This window comes from Homo sapiens, chromosome 10 (assembly GCF_000001405.40).
Source record: "Homo sapiens chromosome 10, GRCh38.p14 Primary Assembly".
Lineage (NCBI taxonomy): Eukaryota > Metazoa > Chordata > Mammalia > Primates > Hominidae > Homo > Homo sapiens.
The window spans coordinates 17,386,130-17,409,023 of record NC_000010.11 but is presented as its reverse complement, the minus strand read 5'-3'; the positions used below and the strand labels follow the sequence as shown (position 1 = coordinate 17,409,023).

The window sequence follows — 22,894 nt, the reverse complement described above, 5'->3', positions numbered from 1 at the left end:
ATCACCTGAGGTTGGGAGTTTGAGACCAGCCTGACCAATATGGAGAAACCCCATCTCTACTAAAAATACAAAAAAAAAAAAAAGAAAGAAAGAAAATAAAATTAGCCAGGCATGGTGGCACATGCCTGTAATCCCAGCTACTTGGGAGGCTGAGGCAGGAGAATCTCTTGAACCCGAGAGGCAGAGGTTGTGGTGAGCCAACATTGTGCCATCACCCTCCAGCCTGTGTAACAAGAGCGAAACTCCGTCTCAAAAAAAATAAATAAATAAAAATAAAAAATAAAATTCTTCTCTCAAAATTCACTTATTTGAGTTTTAGTGAAGATGTATTTATTTATTCATTTATTTATTTTATCTTTTTTTTTTGAGACAATCTCGCTCTGTCACCCAGGCTGGAGTGCAGTGGCACCATCGCGGCTCACTGCAACCTCCACCTCCCGGGTTCAAGCGATTCTCCTCTCTCAGTCTCCCAAGTAGCTGAGATTACAGATGCCCCCATGCCCAGCTAATTTTTGCCTTTCTAGTAGAGACGGGGTTTCACATGTTGGCCAGGCTGATCCTGAACTCCTGACCTCAAGTGATCCACCCTCCTCGGCCTCCCAAACTGCTGAGATTACAGGTGTGAGCCACCGTGCCTGGCCTGAGGAAATATTTAATTAGCAGAGAAATTTACTTCTTTTTTTGGTTGAGAAAAAGAACTTGCTGATGGTGATTGCATAGCTAATATGGACACGTAAGCATGTATATAACTGACATTTAATGACATTTCCAGAACTCACATTCTTGGATTGGGTGTCTTCTCAGAAGCGACAGGGTTTCTTCGGTCGTCATCCAGTTTGCTTGCACAAACCCTATTCAAGGGTTGCATTTGTCGGGCTGGATCCAGAGCGGAGCCTGACTGGGTGCTTTGGCCATGATGGATGGGGGTTACTCTCTTCTCTGTAGCAGAACTCCTGGAAGACTGAACCATGCCACTGAATCAGGAAAATAATTATGTTAGATGTCCCCAGTAACATAAGTCTCCTCTTCCATTATTTCCTTTATTATGATTTTTATCTGAAAATTAAAAACAGAACACTTATTGGTGACATGATGAGAGCTCACTTTACTTTTGTAGCTTTCAAATGGACTCACTGCTTTTCCCACAAACCCTTCTGCCTATGAGACAGTCCAACATTTCTTGTGTGTGAAGTCTTGCTCTAGACTATTATGAAAAAGACGGTCAGGGCAGAAGAACTTGATCCAGGAGACTTTTAAGAACTTGTTACTCAAAGTGAGACCCTTAGTCCAGTGGGACTGGCATTGTCTGGGAGCTCGTAGATATGACACCAAACCAGGTTCATTCTGCCTGCACACAGTAAGCCAGTCATGGTGACAATGGGTTTTGCAAAAGAGAAAAGATTTACTCACAGGGCAACCCAGCCAGGAGATGGGAGAACAGCTCTCAAATCTACCTCCTCAAGGATAATGCTTAGGGATATTTATGGAGTAAAGAATTAGGATGGTCTAAGGTGGGGAAAGGTGATTGAGGGTGGGGAGAAGTGAGGTAACTGGTGATCTGAGCAAGTGCAGTCTGGGCTCACGGCTCTTCTTAGGACACATGGTCAGAAAATAGCAGTGTTAACATGATCTGAGGGTGGAGTTTTGGCCCTCTGATGGCAAGTGTCACTTTTCCGACATCCATGCAGGTGCATTCAGAGGGTTGGTGGTCTCAGCTGGTTTGAACTGGACAGGGGCCGCCCCAAGTTCCTGAAAGACAACTTAAGCAATTGTTACTATGGTGACATATATGTCAGAGTGTTATTTATAGGGAAGCTAGTGAAGGCTAAGTTATAGCATTTAGCAGCCTGACTTTAAGCTATGTGGGTTTAAAAAATCAACAAGCAGCAAAAATCAACAAGGTGCAAGCAACTTAAAAGATTAGCCCTCAGTAGCCGGACGTGGTGGTTCACACCTGTAATGCCAACACTTTGAGAGGCCAAGGCAGGCAGATCACCTGAGGTCAGGAGTTCAAGGCAGCCTGGCCAACATGGAGAAACACCATATCTACTAAAAATAAAAATTAGCCAGGTGTGGTGGCACATGCCTGTAATCCCAGCTACTTGGGAGGCTGATGGGGGAGAATCACTTGAACACGGGAGGCGGAGGTTTTGGTGAGCTGAGATTGCACCGTTGCACTCCAGCCTGGGCAACAAGAACAAAATTCCATCTCAAAAAAAAAAAAAAAAAAAAGATTAGCCCTCGGTTTCAGAAATGTAGAATATTAGGGCCTACCCTGGATCTACTCAACCAGAATCTGCATTTTAACACATTTCTCAGGTGATTCATGGGCACACTGCAGTTGAAGAAGTGCTGCCTTAAGAGGCCTGCCAAGACAGTAACAACCGCCGCTGTATAGACTATGAATGGGAGAAAAAAGTAACTCTTCCTCAACCCTCATACGTTTGTAGTTGGGACAGACTCACAAGAAAAGACAGATTAACAAGAGAAAAACAAGCAAGTATATTAATGCATGCAGTGCACATCCCGTGGGAGAAAAGTAACTCAAAGCAGTGGCTTTAAGAGTCTGGCTTATGTCGTATATTCGACAAAGAACAATACAGCTCAGAGAAGTGACAAGACAAAGGGGAAGCTGTCCCAGGATCCTAGAAGTGGGAAAATGTGGGAAGGCAAATTTATGGGAAATGAAGGGAGTGAAGTCCACTGGCAGAATCTCCTGGCTTTGTTGCTGAGCTGATAAAAGGTTGTAAAGGAGAATTTACATCCTGGCTTTAGGTGCAAAATAGGGGGAGGGTAGAAGACCTTTTGTCTTTGCAATTCTCTGCCCTGCTTTTAGGCAAACAGAAGGAAGGCAGAGAGCTTTTCTGTCTGCTTCTTAATTGCCTTTAGCTCAAAAAACATTTATGTCAAAGAGGCATATTTTGAGGTGACACATTCTGGTTTCTTTGAACAAATACTGCTGAATACTGATTATTAAGCAGGGTCTCCACTCCAATGACTGTGCTAAGTGTTTTTATGCATTGTCTCATACAGATTTTGCATCAAATTCATCAAAGAGAGGATTATTCTCATTTTGCACCTGAGGAAGCTGAAATCATAGAAGGGCTAAATAACTTTCTTCTTTTTTTTTTTTTTTTTTGAAATGGAGTCTTGCTCTCTTGCCCAGGCTGGAGTGCAATGATGGCATGATCGTGGCTCACTGCAACCTCCACCTCCTGGATTCAAGTAATTCTCCTGCCTCAGTCTCCTGAGTAGGGGGCACTACAGGCACCCACTACCACGCCCGGCTAAGTTTTGTACTTTTAGTAGAGACAGGGTTTTGCCATGTTGGCCAGGCTGGTCTTGAACTCCTGACCTTGTGAAATGCCCACCTCGGCCTCCCAAAGTGCTGGGATTACAGGAATGAGCCACCACATCCAGCCAATAACTTTCTTAAGGTTAAGCATCTAGTATGTATCAGAGCAGGAATTTGAGTGATTGTCCACTTGCCTTTAAAGTTTATCCTCTTGATCACTGTAATTTGTTTATTTGATTCAAATATGTTGTCAGCAACCTCATTTGAGGTGTTAAAAGATAATTTTCATATAAGGTAAAATCATGTATTTCATACAGCTACGAAAATGATCACTTTTTAAATATTTATTTTATTTTTTATTTTTTAGACAGGGTCTCACTGTTGCCCAGGATTTCAGTGGTGTGATCGTGGCTCACTGCAGGCTTGAACTCCTGGGCTCAGGCAATCCTCCTGTCTCAGCTTCTGGAGTAGCTAGGACTACAGGCAGGTACTACCATGCCTGGCTATTTTTTAAAGTTTTTTTATAAAGGTGAGTTCTTGAAATTTTGCTCAGGCTGCTTTCGAACTCCTGGGCTCAACCGTAAAGATTTAATTTAAATTATCAGTGAGAAAACTGGAAAGGTGTTATAACCAGTTCAAAGGAGAATCCACAGAATAGATACATTTACATGTATAGATCAGAACTATTGAGCTGAGTGTGTCAATGGAGGCAGAACTACTTTTTCCTTGTGGTGTGGGAGAGGGAGAGTTGCCTCTCCCCTGGACACAATTCATTTGCATACCTATGGATAAGAATTATTTTGTACTGTTATCAGTTATGCACAATTTATAGAATTGCAAAATAGCTCAGTTAAAGAAGAAAGTATTCATGACACTCGTTAAAACAGTATGGCAGAATTTATTCAGGACTATTGTGGTAGGTGTAGAGACTACTGCAATGAGGTTTGCAGTAGGAAAGAGAGATTGGGGTCAACTTCGAATACAAGGAAAGGTGGGGATTTATAGGCAAGGAGCAGCGCAGCGGGGTCAGTGGATGGAAAATCACTACGAGGAAACATCAGAGGTAAGGTGCAATTCTGGGTAAGGCTGACTAGGGTGATCAGACATCACCTAGGGCATGGTGAGGGATGAAGAATTTTATCAGAAATCAAAGATGGTCAGATATTAAGCATAGGGGATTCTGGCCAAACTGACTTAGTAACATCTTTGCTAAGATGAGCTCTTGAGGCTGTGTCCAAGGATGAGGGCTTGTTGAAAAAGAACTGGGGTAGCTTGGTTAAGGAGAACATCTTTGTCAGCTCCCATAGACTCAGAATTCGATACAATGGAGGGGCTGCTGGTGCTGTGGACAATGAGGTGGTTCTCCATTGAAGGGCAAATTTTCCCCTATGAGGGAGGTAGAATGGCGTAACGTCTGAGTTCAAAACTCCACTCCACTTCCAACTCGGACAGCGACTTCGGGTATGTTATTTAATCTTCCAGTGTCTCAATTTCCTCAGTTTATAAAATAGACCTAGTATCTAACCTGTATGTTCAATGTGAGAAGTAAATGAAATGAGATGACACATGTGTAAACTTCTTAAAACAATACACATGGCACCTAATGACCATTCAATATACATCACTCTTATGGCCTCCATTCTTTTTTTTTTTTTTTTTTTTTTGAGACAGTGTCTTCCTCTGTCACCCAGGCTGGAGTGCAGTGGCACCATCTCTGCTCACTGCAGCCTCTGCCTCCCGGGTTCAAGCGATTCTCCCACCTCAGCCTCCCAAGTAGCTGAGATTAAAGGCATGCACCACCACACCTGGGTAATTTTTTTTGTAATTTCAGTAGAGACGGAGTTTCATCATTTGACCAGGCTGGTCTCAAACTCCTGACCTCAGGTGATCCACCTGCCTTGGCCTCCCAAAGTGCTGGGGTTACAGGCATGAGCCACCGTGCCCAGCTCCTTCATTCTTAACTAAGATGGCATATAAGGATTCTTACATCAGGGAATGTGGATATTAATATTAAAAAATACTTAGCGTATCCAAGATTTTCAAATTCAAGGCACACTAAAGAGAGGTCAAAATAATCTTAGCTGTTTAGAGTAAGAAAAGATATGTATATTAGACCAGACAAGTGCAGTAATGAGAAGGGGAAAAAGAGTAGAATGAGGAATTCAATCTGTAACTGACGGTGAACAATCAATTGAGATAACTCACTACCTTCAGACCAGCCTAGAGTAAGAGAATATCGTTGGAAGTCGGTTAAAAAAGACAGAAACACTGTACTGTGGGTGAATTCCACACTGACTCTACACTTTTAGGCTTGCTTCCCACAGCCAAGGACCTGTCACTTCTGGACCAGTGAAATGAGGCACAGATGCTCATGTTTGCAACTTGTTTTCAATCTGTTTCTATTTTATTTTCTCTCTACTCGCCTAAAGACACCATTTCCTAATTAGGGTCCCACTTTTGCACACTGAATTTGAGGTTTTTATAAATCTCCATATCAAATCTGTCCTTTTGATAACTCCCACTTCAGGCAACTGAGGCAAGCCAATACTTTGACTGCCCAAAGGACTCACGCCTGAGCCAGGTCCATCTGTTTCCCTGTTTGGGGTAATCTGTGGGGTGGAGGGAGACTGAAATTCAGAAGAAGTGAGTCTGTGAGGTTCATTCCTGTGAATCCTTCCCTTAACATTAGAGTGATGGGCAGTGATAGTGTTCATGGTGTAGGGAAAATTTTGTGCCACAGTGGATAGGTTTGCACTGTTGAGATCACATACTTCTTTGACTTTTGTTGTTGTTATTTTTTATTATTATACTTTTAAGTTCTAGGGTACATGTGCATAATGTGCAGGTTTGTTACATATGTATACATGTGCCATGTTGGTGTGCTGCACCCATTAATTTGTCATTTACATTAGGTATATCTCCTAATGCTATCCCTCCCCACTCCCCCGACCCCAACAACAAGCCCCGGTGTGTGATGCTCCCCTTCCTGTGTCCAAGTGTTCTCATTGTTCAATTCCCACCTATGAGTGAGAACATGCGGTGTTTGGTTTTTTGTTCTTGCGATAGTTTGCTGAGAATGATGGTTTCCAGCTTCATCCATGTCCCTACAAAGGACATGAACTCGTCCTTTTTTATAGCTGCATAGTATTCCATGGTGTATATGTGTTTTCTTAATCCAGTCTATCACTGATGGACATTTGGGTTGGTTCCAAGTCTTTGCTATTGTGAATAGTGCCACAATAAACATACGTGTGCATGTGTCTTTATAGCAGCATGATTTATAATCCTTTGGGTATATACCCAGTAATGGGATGGCTGGGTCAAATGGTATTTCTAGTTCTAGAACCTTAAGGAATTGCCACACTGTCTTCCACAATGGCTGAACTAGTTTACAGTCCCACCAACAGTGTAAAAGTGTTCCTATTTCTCCACATCCTCTCCAGCACCTGTTGTTTCTTGACTTTTTAATGATCGCCATTCTAACTGGTGTGAGATGGTGTCTCATTGTGGTTTTGATTTGCATTTCTCTGATGGCCAGTGATGATGAGCATTTTTTCATGTGTCTGTTGGCTGCATAAATGTCTTCTTTTGAGAAGTGTCTGTTCATATCCTTCGCCCACTTGTTGATGGGGTTGTTTTTTTCTTGTAAATTTGTTTGTGTTCTTTGTAGATTCTGGATATTAGCCCTGTGTCAGATGAGTAGATTGCAAAAATTTTCTCCCATTCTGTAGGTTGCCTCTTCACTCTGATGGTAGTTTCTTTTGCTGTGCAGAAGCTCTTTAGTTTAATTAGATCCTATTTGTCAATTTTGACTTTTGTTGCCATTGCTTTTGGTGTTTTAGACATGAAGTCCCTGCCCATGCCTATGTCCTGAATGGTATTGCCTAGGTTTTCTTCTAGGGTTTTTTATGGTTTTAGGTCTAACATTGAAGTCTCTAATCCATCTTGAATTAATTTTTGTACAAGGTGTAAGGAAGGGATCCAGTTTCAGCTTTCTACATATGGCTAGCCAGTTTTGCCAGCACCATTTATTAAATAGGGAATCCTTTCCCCATTTCTTGTTTTTGTCAGGTTTGTCAAAGATCAGATGGTTGCAGATGTGTGGTATTATTTCTGAGGGCTCAGTTCTGTTCCATTGGTCTCCATCTTTGTTTTGGTACCAGTACCATGCTGTTTTGGTTACTGTAGCCTTGTAGTATAATTTGAAGTCAGGTAGCGTGATGCTTCCAGCTTTGTTCTTTTGGCTTAGGATTGTCTTGGCAATGCGGGCTCGTTTTTGGTTCCATATGAACTTTAAAGTAGTTCTTTCCAATTCTGTGAAGAAAGTCATTGGTAGCTTGATGGGGATGACACTGTATCTATAAATTACCTTGGGCAGTATGGCCATTTTCACGATATTGATTCTTCCTATCCATGAGCATGGAATGTTCTTTCATTTGTTTGTGTCCTCTTTTATTTAGTTGAGCAGTGGTTTGTAGTTCTCCTTGAAGAGGTCCTTCACATCCCTTGTAAGTTGGATTCCTAGGTATTTTATTCTCTTTGAAGCAATTGTGAATGGGAGTTCACTCATGATTTGGCTCTCTGTTTGTCTGTTATTGGTGTATAAGAATGCTTGTGATTTTTGCACATTGATTTTGTATCCTGAGACTTTGCTGAAGTTGCTTATCAGCTTAAGGAGATTTTGGGCTGAGACGATGGGGTTTTCTAGATATACAATCGTGTCATCTGCAAACAGGGACAATTTGACTGCCTCTTTTCCTAATTGAATACCCTTTATTTCTTTCTCCTGCCTGATTGCCCTGGGCAGAACTTCCAACACTTTGTTGAATAGGAGTGGTGAAGGAGGGCATCCCTGTCTCATGCCACTTTTCAAAGAGAATGCTTCCAGTTTTTGCCCATTCAGTATGATATTGGCTGTGGGTTTGTCATAGATAGCTCTTATTATTTTGAGATATGTCCCATCTATACCTAATTTATTGAGATATTTTAGCATGAAGGGCTGTTGAATTTTGTCAAAGGCCTTTTCTGCATCTATTGAGATAATCATGTGGTTTTTGTCTTTGGTTCTGCTTATATGCTGGATTACGTTTAGTGATTTGCGTATGTTGAACCAGCCTTGCATCCCAGGGATAAGCCCACTTGATCATGGTGGATAAGCTTTTTGATGTGCTGGATTTGGTTTGCCAGGATTTTATTTTGGAGACAGTCTCACTTTATCACCCAGGATGGAGTGCAGTCGCGTGATCTCAGCTCACTGCAAACTCCGCCTCCTAGGTTCAAGCAATTCTCCTGCCTCAGCCTCCCAAGTAGCTGTGATTACAGGTATGTGCCACCACGCCTGGCTAAGTTTTGTATTTTTAGTAGACATGGGGTTTCACCATGTTAACCAGGCTGGTCTCGAACTCTGACCTTAGGTGATCCACCAACCTCGGCCTCCCAAAGTGCTGGGATTACAGGTATGAGCCAATGCACCTGGCCAGATCACACACCTCTGAGTGTCTGATTCTGATCCTGTGGGAGCTATTTTATAACTCCAAGTTGCAGTTAACTGATAGCAATGCAAAATAATTCTTGTCCATAAATATGCAAATTATGTCCTGCATGATAGAGGTCCTAATGACTCACCCTGCCCCTCACTTTGCCAGTTCTTTTACTGGCAAATTCACCTCAATATTCCTGATCTGCAAAGGTGGTGGTGCTCTGCATTCTCCTTTGAACTGCTTCCCTCATTATGAGTAAAATAAAAGCTTTCACACATGTTCATTTTATATGTGCATGAGAGTTACAATTTTACTTTTTTTTTTTTTTTTTGAGACAGAATCTCCCTCAGTCATCCAGGCTGGAGTGCAGTGGTGCAATCAAAGCGTACTGCAGTCTCCACCTCCCAGACTCAAGCAATCCTCCCACCTCAGCTTCCTGAGTAGCTGGGACCACAGGCACACACCACCACATCTGGCTAATTTTTAAATTGTATATAGAGACAGGAGTCTCACTATGTTACCCAGGCTGGTCTCAAACTCCTAGGCTCAAGACCCTCCCCTACCTCTGCCTCCCAAAGTGCTGGGATTACAGGTGTAAGCCACCACACCTGGCTGATTTTACATTGTTGAAAACTATCTTGCAACTATGGTAGGAGGGCAAAATACATTATGGTAACTGACTCAGAAGCAGAGAGCTAGCTAATTAATCTTCATTGAGGGTAACTGAAGGCAAATAAAAGCCAACTAAGCAGATACTATTTGCAGACATTTTTGCAATTTTAAGCTGCCTGCAATGTTTGTGTATAAAAGAATGAAGTTCTATGAAGTCATTTTAAGAAAAGTTCCTCTATTTTGAATTAAATGGCATTCACCAAAACATAGAATCATGGTTTCTTGAAATTAATATGATTATGGAAGATAGCCGGCTTTCATTCTGCAAGCTCAGATGGTAATTGTGTGTTTACTTGTCTGTCATCCCCACCAGGCTGTTTGCTTCAAGGCAGCAAAGAAACTGTTTTCTACCTTGTTTTATCTCCAGAACTTACCATTCTCTGGCACAGATATCAGGTGAAGGACGAAATTAAAAGGCAGCCAGAATCTGCCCCTCATCTTTGTAGGCGCCGTGACTTGATTTTGTCAGTTCCTAAGTACAATGGATATACAAAGGCAGACTTTTGTTAAACAGATTCATACAAGACGATTTATAAATCAGAATATTAATTTGTTAATTAAAAAGAGTATTCAAACCATGCAGTAGACTACGATGCTTGCCTTTCTCCCTCAGGAAAACTACATGGTGTATGTGTGTTGCAGGGGCGGTGGCTACATTACAATTAGAAGTTTGCTTAATGAGCTGGAAGTTGGTGCACAGCTAATTACTGTGGCCTCTGTCCCAGGGGCAGGTCAGCCTGTTACATCCCTCTACAGTGCTCAGGATGCTGGTGGCTAGGGTGCTCTCCTGGCTCCTCATCCCTAGAATGAGGACAGAGTGTTTCTAAGTATATGGAAAGAACTGTATAACCCTTTGGGCTTTCTGTTCTTTGATAATATTCCCTGTCTGTTAAAACATTCTTTCTTCAGAGAGAGTAACATTGATTTGGTTTTAAGCTTTACATTTAAATTCACAATCCAGTTTTAGCCCCTGTATAGTCATTGTAAATAGAATTTGGGATATTCTTGAAACTCCTTTGTTGCCCATTTGCAGATTATTCTTTGGGATGTTTTACTTGGCCAGGGGACCGATTGCATGATTGTATTAATTACGAGTCATATACAGAGGGTGACATTAATTCTATGTTTTAGAGGTCTTTGTGGATGATCGGTAAGCACTGATGGCATTATTTTGTAGGGATTGAATAGTTTGTTTCCTTCAAGAGACATTCTTCGCACTATCAGAGTCTTAATTTTTTTTTTTTTTCCTTAAGATGGAGTCTTGCTCTGTCACCCAGGCTGGAGTGCAATGGTGCAATCTCGGCTCACTGCAACCTCTGCCTCCCGGGTTCAGGTGATTCTCCTGCCTCAGCCTCCTGAGTAGCTGGGATTACAGGCATGCGCCACCATGCCTAGCTAATTTTTGTATTTTTAGTAGAGACGGGGTTTCACCATGTTGACAAGCCTGGGCTTGAACTCCTGACCTCAGGTGATCCACCCGCCGCAGCCTCCCAAAGTGCTGGGATTACAGGCATGAGCCACTGTGCCCAGCCCAGAGTCTTAATTTTTCTTACTTGGCAGTAGCCATTGTAGTCTCTAAGCTTTTGGCTATTCTGTGGAATCTTGTCAGTGGGGCTTGTAAAGTGATCACTTTCAATTCAAGAATGACTTATACAGATATAATTTTTTAAAAGTATATCAACCATATGTGGATAACAGTGATAGCAGAACTGCTTGTTTTTGTGTATCTTTTTTTTCCAACCTTTTTAAAGATTTCCCCCCCGCAACATACTGAAGTGATGAAAACATGCCTAAAGTCTTGGTTGCCAGTACCAAACAAATTCTGTAATCAAATAATAAAAGCAGCCAGAAGCCATAATATAAGACTGGAAGGAATTAAAAAAGGGAAATGTGTACCAATTAATGGTTAACAAATGCAGGCAGGGGCCAGGTGGTGGATGGCTTTGCATGCCCAGTTAATAAGGAGTACGGAGCACATCTCAAGAGCGATGGGGATGGAAGGTCTTTGAGCAGGGAAATGATGTGATCAAATGTGCACAGGAGGCCAGGCGCGGTGGCTCACGCCTGTAATCCCAGCACTTTGGGAGGCCGAGGCGGGCGGATCACCTGAGGTCAGGAGTTCGAGACCAGCCTGGCCAACATGGTAAAATCCTGTCTCTGCTAAAAATACAAAAATTAGCCAGTCGTGGTGGCAGGCATCCTGTAATCCCAGCTACACAGGAGGCTGAGGCAGGAGAATCACTTGAACCCAGGAGGTGGAGGTTGCAGTGAGCTGAGAATACGCCATTGCAGTCCAGCCTGGGGGACAAGAGTGAGACTTCGTCTCAAAAAAAAAAAAAAAAACAAAAAACAATTTGCAAACGACACAACCCCTCGCGGAGAAAATGAGGATGGAGCTGAAGGAGAAAAAGGTTGGCAGAGATGTTTACAGGAAGCCAGCAGGCTAAGACATGAGACATGGAGGCAGTGTATGGGGGAACACCAGTAAACTGAATACCAGCCACTTACTTTAAATTCACATCAGAAAAAGAAGACTCATGGGAAACACCCACTCTTATGCACTGGCCCAAGAAAGAAACTGCGAAAGGACCCTGAGTAGTAGTCAGAGGTCAAAGGACAAGAAGAGAGGACTGTGGTGGAAGCCAGGTACTAAGTGAGTTGTCAGTGGTTCAAATACCCTCAGGGGTCAAATGGCAAATGTTGAAATAGCTCTTGGACTTGGTGATGCTTTCCAAGAATGGTTTAGTGGATTTTCAGGTAAAGAAAAAGGACAAGAGTTGGTTGCACTTTGAATGAAAGGTAAGGCAATAGATGGAGGAACACAGCAGAATGGGTGATTTCGTTTGTTTTTGATTTTGAGATGGAATTGAGCTGGGAAAGGACTGTGGTAGGGAAAGGGGAAATATTCAGGAGAGAGAAAAATCAAGGGATGGGCTGGATCTCAGAGGAGATAGAGAGGGATGTGATGGCAGGTGGATTATTCTTTTGTGAGAGGGGAGGCATTTCTTTCTCTGAGAAGGAAAGTCAGGGTGGCTTGTATTTACAGGCCAATGCTCACCCAGCTGCACCATGTTTCTCTGAAAAAGGAGCACAGTTAAATGAGAAGTTAGGAGTCCAGAGAATAGGCAAAGACAATAAGAAACAGTGGATGCCTAGTGTAGCCATGGAGGGAACTGGGCATGTAATAGAATTGCCAAGGTATATAAAAGGCCCTACAAATTGGACACTATGAATTTACCAAGGCACCAAACCACCCGCATGATTTTTTTTCCAGCACTCCTCATGAGTCAGGTATAGGAATATAGGATGCCAGGGGCTGTATTGCTACATTATGGCAGATTTGCCAGGTGACAAGATGTCAGTGGATCAGGGAATTGAGAGGGCTGTCAAGATGTGACAAATGCTACAAGTGGGCAGAAAAATAATCTTGCACAGTGACATGTGAACAGAGATTGTGATCTTCTAATGAAGCAATTAGAGAAGTATTGGCAGAACAGTTAGAGCCATCTCCACTCATGGGTCGGAGGCTTCTCATGCTAACCCGACTACAGAGCTCTAGCAGAACACCATGAGGGTCGCCATGGTCTCTCCCATAACTTATCTCTTTGGGGGCGCTCTCAACTGTATAGTTTGGCAGTTCTGATGTGAACAGGTCATTTTTTCTATTTCAGCTAATTCTGGTATGAAGGGTTTTTTGTTTTGTTTCGCTCTTGTTGCCCAGGCTGGAGTGTAATGGCACAATCTCGGCTCACCACAACCTTTGCCTCCTGGGTTCAAGCAATTCTCCTGCCTCAGCCTCCTAAGTAGCTGGGATTACAGGCACGTGCCACCACACCCGACTAATTTTTATATTTTAAGTAGAGATGGGGTTTCTCCATGTTGGTCAGGCTGGTCTTGAACTCTCGACCACAGGTGATCTGCCCGCCTTGGCCTCCCAAAGTGCTCAGATTACAGGCATTAGCCACCATGCCTGGCAAGTTTTTAAGAAGTGCTTTCAACAGAAAATTAGAATAAAATTAAAAAAATTTTTTTTTTGTCTCAGAATTCACAGAAACAGAATTCATACTTTGAGCCTGTAAGAGCCTGGCTTCAGGGTTTTGGTTCTTAGAGTTTGCCTGGCAACCCTACTGAGTCCTCTTCTTTTTCTGTCCCTAGACTCAACTGCTCAGACTTCTAACTTGGTTAGTTTTAGGTGGGTCCCTCTGCATTCATATGCTGGACTTCTACCTGGAAAGGAGTTCTCCTGCAGCAGGATGTGATATGATCCCCAGTATATTAGTCAATTTTCATGCTGCTAATAAAGATATACCCGAGACTGGGTAATTCATAAAGAAAAAGACATTTAATGGACTCACAGTTCCACGTGGCTGGGGAGGTGAAAGGCATGTCTTACTTGGTGGTAGACAAGAGAGAGAATGAGAATCAAGCAAATGGGGTTTCCCCTTATAAAACCATCAGACTTATTCACTACCATGAGAACAGTATGGGGGAAACTGCCCCCCGTGATTCAATTATCTCCGACAGGGTCCTTCCCACAACACGTGGGAATTGTGAAAGCTATAATTCAAGATGAGATATGGGTGGGGACACAGCCAAACCACATCACCCAGTAATCCTTCCTGGGCTTACAAATCAGCCCACGCTTGTCTTGCAGCTATCTCTTGTGCCACGATGTTGTTCCTGGTTTAGAGTCTTTGCAATTCCTACTTTCACCTGGATCAATTTCTCTCAATCCCCTATGACTTGTCTGAGAGATGTTCCCAAATCAGCATTTTTTAAAAAAGGACTCAACCCAACGTCTTCACTTGTGGTGTGCCCCAACCTCTTAGATGGGATCTGCTCACAGCTAGTGTCCTCTCTTATCCCAGAATTGAGAAGGTCTCTTTCTGGAGCAAGTTTGAATGACATTAGATGAAAAAAGGAAGAAAACTCTGAAGACTCTTGAAATGAAAAGGAGGGGACAGGGAAGGTACAGAAGCAAAGATAACTAAAAGGGCTTCTCTGTCTGTACCTTTCATTACTGGGTGACTTCTTACCAGTGTGAGATGCTTCCTACCTCTATGGCAATAACAATGACTGATTTGAGGAAATAAAGCAATAATGACTTTGAGAGAGTAAGAACACATCTATTTACTGACTTCTGCTTGTCAGGTGTTTTTATATACATCCCATTAAATTCCTAAAATTCCTTTATTGGGTAAGGATTTTTTTTTTTTTTTTCTTAAAGGCAATCCCAAAGCTCAAGAGCTAAAGTCAGAGAGTGGAGCCCAGATTCAGAGACTGGCCTTGCTGACTCTGAAGACCCTGTTTGGTCCCCAAGACTTCATTCCGTCACCTTCACTTCTATCCCAGATCCTCTCATTTGTTTCCACGTATCTTCTGTGATTTTAGTTTGCGCAACTAAACCTATTCTGAGTTTTTATTTAAAAAGATACCCTCTCTGATTTAAGAAGAGGCATAGGAGACACAATCCTATTGGTGCCTACTGGTCACAGTTTCACAATTCAATACTGCAACGCCATCGTAATTCAAAGCATTGCTGGCTTGGTAATTCACTTCATTAACAGTCCTGCCTGCATAAAATACAAGGCAAATGGGAAATAAACAAATCCTTGGACAGTATAATACATTCAGAAAGCACAGAAGGTGATGCGTGGAGAATGAATTAGAGGGAATTGGGAAGGAAGTGGCGGGGGAGATAAATTCTATCAGGATTAAGAGGGACTTTTGTGAGCCCATGTGTACTCTGCAGGCAGTTTTTAGAAAGGATTTCTGAGAAATATTGGAGAATTACTTATGAATCTGTCTTGTTTATTTCTTTACCTTTATGCCTTCCTATCCCTCACTTCCCACATCCAATCTCCTAGGAAGTCCTGTCAGTCTTGCCTCTAGAATGGATCTCAAATCTGTCCACTTCTCTGCCTGCCGATGGACACAGGTGTGCTGAAGTCTCCAGTTACACCTGTGTCAGATCTCCTCTCTGGGGACACAGGAGGGTGGCTCATTTCTGACTCCCACGTTGCAATCAGGTGGGGCATGTGACCAGCTCTGGCTAATGATGCATTGTAATTCTGGTTCAAACATTTGGATACAGGGCAAGACCTTCCAGCATGTTCTTCTCCTGCCACATCAATTATAGAAGCAGCTTATTGAAATGAAGGTGCCACAAGACTGAAGCAATTTGGATCCCTGTATTAGTCAGAGTTCTCTAGAAAAACAGAAACAATAGAGAGATAGCAAGAGATTTATTACGAGGGATTAGCTCCCATAATTAGGGGAGGCTGAGAAGTCCCATGACCTGCCTTCTCCAAGCTGGAGCCCCAGGAAAGCCAGTGGCGTAGCTCAGTCTAAGCCCAAAGGCTGAGGAGACTTTGATGGAAACCATGGGGCCAACAGTGTAAGTCCCAGTCTGAATATGAAGGTCCTAGAACCAGGAGCACCGATGTCCAAGGGCAGGAGAAAACGACGTCCCAGCTCAAGAAGAGAGAGTGAACTCACCCTTCCTCCACTTTTTTGTTCTATCCAAGTGCTCAGCAGATTGGATGCTGCCCACCCACACTGGTGAGGGCAGCCTTTACTCAGTCTGTTGATTCAAATACTCATCTGTTCCAGAAATACCTTCACATCACACCCAGAAATCATGTTTTACCAGTTATCTGGGCACCCCTTTGCCCAATCAAGTTGACACAGAAAATGAACCATCACAAGCCCTAAACCACATGGAGCACAGCTGCCCTAGACGGGCCTCCAGACATACAGTGGGCATTTCATCGGCAAGAAACAAACCTTTGTTTTGTAAAGCAACTGAGAGCTTGACGTTGTTATCACATCATAGTCTATTCTATCCTGACAAGCAAAAGGAGTTGCCATCAGCTCTCTCCTAGAGTCCTGCAGAAACCTCCTAACTTTTTCACTTCCTCTCTTGCCCCATTTCTCCTCATTTCTCTGCAATCACCCCATGGCTCTTCAACCTTGAATCCTATTATCTTTTTATTTCCTCAGATAATCCAGGCTGCTCCCCATTTTGGAACCATTGCACATTTATTTTTTTGAGACAGAGTCTTACTCTGTCACCCAGGCTGGAGTGCAGTGGCCCGATCATGGTCACTGAGGCCTTGGACTCCTGGGCTCAAGTGATTTACCTGCCTCAGCTCCCCAAAGTGCTGGGACTAGAGGTGTGAGCCACTGGGCCTGGCCTGCACACACTTTTTCCTCTGCCTTGAACGCACTACCCACTTTGTTTGGATCATCCTTGGGTGTCTCCATCTAAATGACACTCACTTGGAGGCCTCCTCTGACCCCTCAGTGTGAGTAGAGACCTACTCTTCTGAGCCACCTACTCTGGTTCAACCATAACCAATCACGGTTCATAATTCTATATTCATTTGTTTGGTTATTTGTTGATTGATACCTTTCTCCTTATTCAGACTGCAAGCTCCATTAGGGAATAAGACCATGTCTATTTTCTCTTCCTCTCTGTCCTAAATAACCTGTGTGTGGGCCCAACCCATATTAGGCTATCAACGAATACCTTCAGGATGATGAAATAAATGCATTAACAGCAAGTTAGAGTTGCATATATATTTTTTAAGTCTAAGGAAAGAGATAGTTGATTTTTTTTTGAGCACTTAATATATGTGACGCATGTTACAAGTGGTTTACATTGTTTCCTTAGCATATATATATCATGGCAATAACACTATGAGGTAAGCACAATTATCCTTGATTTAGAAATATGGAAGTCTATGCCTGGAGTGGGTTAAATAACATGCCTATGTCCCTGAGGCTCATTAGGCAGGCTAACTTTGTAACCCATGTCCTTAACCTGACTTCAGATTTTTTTTCTTTTGTTCCACCTCCAATTTTCAAAGTTTATAAAACAAATAGCACCAGGCCAGTATATTGCAGCTATCAGAATAATCAAAGGCCAGATTTGTGTTCATTATGGAGAGAGTTAATGATCTCCTATGTCTGCATATTTTCTACCGAAGAAAACATCCTTTAAAAATAAACGCGACTGGGAGCGGTGGCTCACGCCTGTAATCCCAGCACTTTGGGAGGCCCAGGCAGGCGGATCACGAGGTCAGGAGATCGAGACCATCCTGGCTAACATGCTGAAACCCCGTCTCTACTAAAAAAATACAAAAAATTAGCCGGGCATGGTGGCAGGCGCCTGTAGTCCCACCACTCGGGAGGCTGAGGCAGGAGAATGGCGTGAACCCGGGAGGCGGAGCTTGCAGTGAGTCGAGATGCACCACTGCACTCCAGCCTGGGCGACAGAGCAACACTCCATCTAAAAAATAAATAAATAAATAAATAAAAATAAAATAAACACACAGTGATTAAAACTATTAAATAACTTGTTCATTGTAAATACTAACCTCAGAATATGAAAACCTGCCAGTATAAAGTCCTCAAAGGCCAGGCACGATGGCTCACGCCTGTAATCCCAGCACTTTGGGAGGCTGATGCGGATGGATCATCTAAGGTCGAGAGTTCCAGACCAGCCGGACCAACATGGAGAAACCCCGTCTCTACTAAAAATACAAAATTAGCTGGGCGTGATGGCAGGCGCCTATAATCCTAGCTACTCGGGAGGCTGAGGCAGGAGAATCGCTTGAACCAGGGAGGTGGAGGTTGCAGTGAGCTGAGATTGTGCCATTGCACGCCAGCCTGGGCAACAAGAGTGAAACTCCATCTCAAAAAAAAAAAAAAGGTCTTCAAAATAGAGTTCTCTTATGTTTGACTTTACAGCGTAAGTTTTTTGTTTTTTTTTTCATTTAGACCCATCAGAGGTGAAAATATTAATTTCCTTTTCCATGGAGAAATCCAATAATGGAGTAAAGATGAGACTTCATTTGGACACACTTTATCAATTAAATCTGATTTTTGTTAACAATATCTTATAAGCTCTCATTTTAAATCAATCTTTTTAAAAATCTCTTTCATGAAACAGCACATATCTGAATGAGAAGTCGCTCCAACTGACGGAGAAATGCAAAAATCTGCAATATGGCATTGAGTCTTTCTCTAACAAAACGAAAGGGTAAGTTCTACTCTTCACATTTAATTTCCTTTTACAACAAGGGTTTTATTTTCAGAATGTCTGACAGTGTCTCTGAAGTCATTTGGAATATGAGACTGTTCACTCTCAGGCTTACCATTGGGCTCTGAAGCTCCTGTTAATGAGCATGATGGACCTGGGGCCAAACAATGTGTACCAGGGTCAGACCCTGGCAGTGGGACTCAACTTATTTGTCCCTGGATCCGCATTTGTTAAAAATACCATGTAGGGGCCAGGTGCGGTGGCTCATGGCTGTAATCCCAGTGCTTGGGGAGGCAGAGGCTAGAGGATTGCTTGAGGCCAGGAGTTTCAGACCAGGCTTAGCAACATAGCAAAACCCTCATCTCTACAAAAAATAATTAAAATTGGGTGGCATGTGCCTGTAATCCCAGCTACTCAAGAGGCGGAGCCAGGAGGATCGTTTGAACCCAGGAATTCAAGGTTGCAGTGAGCTATGATGGCACCACTTGCACTCCAGCCCAGGGGACAGAGCAAGACCCTGACTCTAAAACTAATTTTTAAAATTAGCTGAATGTGGTGGCTCAGGTCTGTAGTTTCAGCTACTCAGGAGGTTGAGGAAGGAGAATTGCTTGAGCCCAGGAGTTCAAGGCTGCAGTGAGCTATGACTGCACCACTTCGTCCAGCCTGGGTGACAGACCGAAATCCTGTCTCTAAAATCAACCAAAAAACTCCTCAAAACACCATGTAGTTATACTGGCTAAACTTTTATAGGCCCCCAATCCTTTTGAGAACATGATATGTATTCTGAATGCTATCCTAGAAAAATACACACTTGTACAAAATTGTGCTTACAATTTCAGCCAGGTGAACGATTTACCCCCCAGTCTCAGCTGTGACACTCCCTCAGCTTCCCCTGCGCTGCTTACAATCCTATATTTTAGAGGGTTTGCTACATCATCTCCTTCAAAAAAAGGAAATCCAAGTGCTCCATGCCTCATCTACATGGAAGAGGCACTGGTGGCCTGAGACTCTGATTGTTCCTAGAAGGTGCCCAGTCCAATGGTGCTGGACAAAGGATGTGTGTGTGTTGGGCAGGGACACGAGGTTATGCCTGTAACCTCCCTGAAAGGAAATAACCCGAGTTTCATCTTGCTTTATGCTTGCCTGACAACATTTGAAGATGGTTCAGGATAATGTAAACGCCCAGTGGTTTCACCTTGCCCACTGCCTAGACAGAACCGATTTATCAAGACAGGTGAATTGCAATGGAGAAAGAGTAATTCACGCAGAGCTGGCTGTGTGGGAGACCGGAGTTTTATTACTCAAATCAGTCTCCCTGAGCGTTGGATCGGGGATCAGAGTTTTTAGAGATAATTTGGAGGGTAGGCGCTTGGGCAGTGGGGAGTGCTGATGGTCAGGCTGGAGCGAATCAGGGAGTTGAAATGAGTTTTTCTTGCCATCTTCTGTTCCTGGGTGGGATGGCAGAACTGGCTGAGCCAGATTATGAGTCTGGGGGGTGTCAGCTGATCCATCCAGTCTAGGGTCTGAAAAATATCTCAAGTACTGATCTTAGGTTTTACAATAGTGATGGTATCCCCAGGAGCAACATGGGGAGGTTCAGACTCTTGGAGCCAGAGTCTGCATGACCCCTAAACTGTAATTTCTAATCTTGTAGCTAATTTGTTAGTCCTGCAAAGGCAGACTGGTCCCCTGGCAGAAGGGGGTCCTTTCAGGAAAGCGCTATTATCAATTTTGTTTCAGACTCAAACCACGAACTGAATTCCTTCTCAAAGTTAGCTCGGCCTACACCCAGGAATAAACAAGGACAGCTTAAAGATTAGAAGCAAGATGTAGTCAGTTAGGTCTGATTTCTTTCATGTCATAATTTCCTCAGTTATAATTTTCAAAGATGGTTTCAGTAAGAGGTATTGCTGATTTCCACATGCCAATCCTATACAAGGAAGACCCAGTGAGCGGTCTTCCTGCCTTCATGTTTTTCACTTTCTCTTCCTAATAATAATTCTCTTTCTCTCTCTCTCACACACACACTGCTTCTTTTAATGTTAGAAATAGTGTTTATACAGCTGCCTCTAATCCATTCCTTCCCTTCCCTGGGGGTGTTGGAGTTTGATCTGGGGATAAAGAAACCAAGGTAGGTAAACCGGTTTAACTGTTTCTCCACTGAGCCTCTGGGTAAATAGACTAACGATATTTGCTTAGAGGAAGAGACACATCCATTGAGTGTCCCTAGCAGGCTGATCTCTGGCTGAGGTCCTGCTTAAAGTTAATGGAATCCAGGATCCAGGAGGCAGGACTGCCTGGAGAATGGCTCAAAGGCTGTGGAACTCCCTGGGTCTAAAAGAGAAACCGTTTAACAATTTAAAGTTTCCTGCTGTGTGAGGAAGCCCACTGACCTCACCTAGAAACCTCACCTACGATCCTGGGCCATGTGCAGTGTGGGAAGACAGGACTGGGGTGTCCACCCTTGATGTCCCAAGCCTGTCTCTGCTTTGTCTGAGTCTGTTGACATAACCAGAAATTATGTTTTACCAGCTATCTGGGCATGCCTGAGCCCAGTCAGGTCGACACAGAAAATGAACCATTGAAAGCCTTAAACCACACACAGCACAGCTGTCCTAGACGGCCCTCCAGATATACAGTGGGCATTTCATGGGCAAGAAACAAACCTTTGTTTTGTAAAGCAATTGAGAGCTTGGCGTTGTTATCATATCATAGTCTATTCTATCCTGACAAGTAAAAGGAGTTGCAATCTCTCTCCTAGAGTTCAGCAGAAATCTCTTAACTTTTTCACTTCACCTCTAGCCCCATTTCCCCTCATTTCTCTGCAGATCTTTGAAATTATTAGGAAAGCTTGATACTGGCTAAGATCTCTGATTTGGGTTAATCGATGTGACAGCAGTCCAGTCCTGTATGTTAGCTCCGTTTCTCACAGAAGGATAGCCCTATGAAAATCCTAGTTTTCTGGGCCCGGCGCGGTGGCTCACACCTGTAATCCTAGCACTTTGGGAGGCTGAGGCGGGCAGATCACCCGAGGTGGGGAGTTCGAGACCAGCCAGACCAACATGGAGAACCCCCCCCCCCCCGCCCCACCGCCCCGACTAAAAACACAAAATGAGCTGGGTGTGGTGGCGCATGCCTGTAATCCCAGCTACTCGGGAGACTGAGGCTGGAGAATCTCTTGAACCCGGGAGGCAGAGGTTGTGGTGAGCCAAGATCACGCCACTGCACTCCAGCCCGGGTGACGAGAGCGAAACTCCGTCTCAAAAAAAAAAAAAAATTATTGTTTTCTTTTCCTTAAATTCCAACTAGCGGGCCTTAAGCTTGCAAGGGGAATCCACGGTGCTGTGCGTCTTCCACTGGGCCCACTCAATCCACTTTCACCCTCATAGCTTTTCACCCTCCAGTTTCATCTCTGCCTGACTTTTCCCAGGGAGGCTGACGTACGTGGAACTCACCAATAGGTTCTGGGCTCTTTTGCCATCCGGCTTTTCTTTGGAGCAAGGAGGAGCATGAAAAAGAGATCAGAAAGAGGGAGGTGAAAGACCATCCCCAGGGCCTAGAAGCTGGCGGAGGCCTGAATAACTCCTCCCTTCTCAGGCCCAGTCCCAAGGCGCAAGGCGGCTTACGTCATCAGCGTGCGTCAGCAAGATAGCAGAAGCGGGGAGAGAGCTGTTCTGAAGACCCAGAGAGAGGCCTACCGGGTATCACGTAGCAGTAGATACACAGACTGAAACACTTCCTGTTTACGGGAGACTGTAAAACCCCTGCCCGTCCTCATTTGGGGCTGATGCCATTTTAGGCCTCGGCCTGAAATGGCCTGAAGGTCTGCCTTCAGGCATTCATTAAAACTGCCTGTTGCTCCACACTGCCTTGTGTTGTTTGTTGGCGTTCTCTCAGGGTTCGAACCAATACAAGAGCCTTGCAGGAGGAAGGAGAAGAAACTCTGTGTTTGATGTCGTTGCAGGTTAACTACATGCTTTTCTTTCTTTTTTCTTGGAGACAGTCTCACCGTCACCCAGGCTGGAGTGCAGTGGTGCGATGTCGACTCACTGCAACCTCCACCTCCCGGGTTCAAGTGATTCTCCTGCCTCAGTCTCCCCAGTAGCTGGGACTACAGGCGCGTGCCACCACGCCCGGCTAATTTTTGTGTTATTAGTAGAGGCAGGGTTTCACCATATTGGCCAGGCTCCTGACCTTGTGATCGAGCTCCTGACCTTGTGATCGAGCTCCTGACCTTGTGATCGAACTCCTGACCTTGTGATCTGCCCGACTCAGCCTCCCAAAGTGCTGGGATTACAGGTGCGAGCCACCGCGCCCGGCCTGTGTGTATGTGTGTGTGTGTGTGTGTGTGTGTGACAGTCTCACTCCGTCGCCGAGACTGGAGTGCAGTGGCACGAACAC

The 22,894-nt window shown here is 43.8% G+C and overlaps 1 protein-coding gene and 1 long non-coding RNA gene across 7 annotated transcripts in view; one reads left to right on the top strand and one right to left on the bottom strand.

Moving 5' to 3' along the window:
• The window catches only part of ST8SIA6 (ST8 alpha-N-acetyl-neuraminide alpha-2,8-sialyltransferase 6), a 139,175-nt gene that overhangs the window by 45,572 nt on the left and 70,709 nt on the right, over nt 1-22,894 (top strand). For 4 of the 6 annotated variants that reach the window (NR_144322.2, NM_001004470.3, NM_001345961.2 and 1 more), the window contains one exon: nt 18,404-18,493. The exons of 1 other annotated variant lie outside the window; for it this stretch is intronic. Coding sequence is in view for 1 of the 5 variants with exons in the window: in NM_001004470.3 (NP_001004470.1) it covers nt 18,404-18,493 (90 nt within the window). In the remaining 4 variants the exon portion in view is untranslated. Of the gene's footprint in view, nt 1-4,734; nt 4,757-18,403; nt 18,494-22,894 lie in introns of those variants that run through there. One more of the 6 variants, XM_024447978.2, reaches the window with a different exon arrangement.
• ST8SIA6-AS1 (ST8SIA6 antisense RNA 1) lies at nt 738-22,088 on the bottom strand. The gene is made up of 3 exons (NR_034129.1): nt 21,949-22,088; nt 9,822-9,919; nt 738-1,056 (listed from the first exon to the last, which is right to left on the bottom strand). It is a non-coding gene; the product is annotated as an ST8SIA6 antisense RNA 1 (long non-coding RNA).